Genomic DNA, 2721 nt, shown 5'->3' with positions numbered 1-2721 from the left:
TTTTGTGCTTCAAAAGATACTCTTAAGAAAATGAAAAGGCATACTGCAAACTGGGAGATATGGCAAAATATACATCTGATAAAGAACTCTTTAGAATACATGAGGAACTCTTGAAATTCAGTAATAAGACAGCCTGATATTTTTTAGAAAGGGCAAAATAATTCAACACATACATGATCAAATAAAGCATCTGAGAGGAAAATAAATTATGAATAAATTATAAAATATGCTCAACATTATAGGTCATCATAAAAATATGAATTAAGATGCAATATAAAATATGACACATCTATTAGAAGGGCTAATTTTAAAAAGCTAATAGGACTAATTTTAAAAAGCTAATGATAGCAAGTATTGGCAAGGACTTGGAATAATTAAAACTCTTATGCACTGCTGGTGGTGATGCAAGCTGCTAGAGTCCCTTGGAAAACAAGTTTTGTGGTTTCTTATAAAAGTAAGCATATTCTTGCTATCTTCATTTTTAAATTTAGGGAAATTTCCATACTCCCCAAATTCATTGCAATCAGATATATGTTTATTATTCATTCCTATTAATTATTTATAGAATGTTGTAAATTCTACCATTAATACAATTAAAAACAATTATTAATACAATTAATAAACCATTATAAACTTGACACTAGGGGCCCAATTCCTAATTTATAAAGCCTAATTTATAAATCCTCTAAATGAAAGGATAGTAAGCAAAATTAGTAATTATCCTCATATGTATAGTTTTCAGAAATTCAGAAAGAGAATTTCTTTTGGTAACAAATTTTCTCTTGGTAACAAATCCATTTTATGTCTGATAGCTTTAAATTTTTGCCTTAAACAAAACTGAGGAAATGCCTAGTTGAGCTGCTGATTCATTAAAAATATTTGATGGAAGACTATTACATAATTTTTGGCATATTAAGCTAAAAGAAGTTTTAAAAATTGGTACTTTTGTTCTAGAATATTCTTTTCATTCACACATATATGTTTATGTAAAATAATTTATAAGCTTTAACCTCATGAAAACAGTTTTAAAAAGAGGAATAAAGTTAATATTGTAATCTGCTTTATTCAAATAACAGTATTCATTAAAAATAGATAAAAACAATTCTCATATATTTCATTCATTTAGTCACATATTTCTCTTGTTTTATCAGTTGGCAGTAATAAACATTACAATGGTAACTCTAGACAAAATATTTTAGTAGCTGGAGCCATATGATTCCAGAAAATTGGAAAAGTAAGTTAAATTTATTTATATTATTAATATAAATTTTATAGTAACAATTATATTACATATTATATATCAAAGTCTATGTATGTATTATATGTTTACATTACACTTTAAATTTGTATTATCTATATACATATTTTTATCACAGAAATGATGTTAGGACAATCAATAAAATATTTTCAAGGGCTAAAGTGCATTATAATTGAAATGGAAAGATGAGTTCAAGGATTAAAATAAATGATAGGCAATTTCTGCCTTCCAAAGAAGAGCTTGTTTACATACATTTTAATAAATGATGGTGATATGGAATTGCTTTAAGGCTTACACTTCAGGGGAAATATTTAAAAGAGATATATAATAATTTTATTTTTTCTTAAAGTTATATTATGCTAAAAATGAAATCTTATGGATCTGTACACAGTCATCCCTCAATAGCTGTGCAGGATTAGTTCCAGGACACCCTAGGGACACAAAAATCCAAGGATGATCAAGTCTCTGATATAAAATAATATAGTATTTGCGTATAACCTACACACATCCTCCTGTATGCTTTAAGTCACCTCTACATTACTTATTAGTTCCTAATACAATGTAAATGATATACAGTTTTATTCTATATTGTTTATGAAATAATTACAAGAGAAAAGTCTGCATGTATTCCATATAGATACAACTATTGATTTTATTTTCTGAATATTTTAGATCAGTTGGTTGAATCCATGGATGCAGAACTGACTGATATGAAATGAAGACTCCATGTTGCCAATTTTACATATGAAAATTAAAAGACGTGTGGTAGTACATTATTTTTAAAAATTTAGAGGCCATTTTAAAAAAAAGATTGGAGGTTGCTTTAACCACCCAATCTGGATAAGATGTGCCATCTTGTAGTTCTTGTGATTCCTTCTATCAGAGAATTTGCTACAACATTTTTGTAACAGTCTATTTACTTATCTGCATCCTTCACTAAATAGGAAGCTCTTGTTGCCAGAAACGATGTTTTGTGTAAGCAGTCTTGAGACTGAGATTGTTAATGAATGTTTTTCTGGCTGAATGAATGCACAAATAAACTGAGTTGGTTTTGGATAGATATTTTTCAGTGTTTTTTTGCTTTCGTGCACCAACATGTAGGCTTATATTCCTTCTTTTTAATTTTAAGATCTTCATGAAGGGAATCAACATTGCTTTATAGAAAGAAAAACATGCTAAGGTTTTTGGATGTAGTCCCATCTCTGACAATAAAATAATCATATAGCTTAGGCAAGTTATAATTTTTTAGGACCAAAACCTTGTTATTTGCAATATCAGGGGTGAATTCTTAGGTTCTTACTTCCCCAAATCTGTTTTACTTTCTTTATTTCCTATACAACTAAAAGTGCCTTATTTTATAAGTTGCTTATTTGCTACATAATCCACAAGTGAGAATGCACAGAGCTGGCTGCTGCCTCATTGTCTTAGTGGTAAACTTCTAGACACACAGAAAAAAGATAAGT

At 28.5% G+C, this 2721-nt stretch overlaps 1 long non-coding RNA gene across 1 annotated transcript; it reads left to right on the top strand.

Annotated features, from left to right (window-relative positions):
• The first annotated feature begins 1160 nt into the window (after positions 1–1160).
• On the top strand, positions 1161–2314 carry LOC124903075 (uncharacterized). Its single transcript, XR_007063579.1, has 2 exons — positions 1161–1234; positions 1931–2314. It is a non-coding gene; the product is annotated as an uncharacterized LOC124903075 (long non-coding RNA).
• The last annotated feature ends 407 nt before the right edge of the window (positions 2315–2721 follow it).

This window comes from Homo sapiens, chromosome 12 (genome assembly GCF_000001405.40).
Source record: "Homo sapiens chromosome 12, GRCh38.p14 Primary Assembly".
Taxonomy (NCBI): domain Eukaryota; kingdom Metazoa; phylum Chordata; class Mammalia; order Primates; family Hominidae; genus Homo; species Homo sapiens.
Note: the sequence above shows the minus strand (reverse complement) of the source record. Positions and strands in the feature narration are given on the sequence as shown.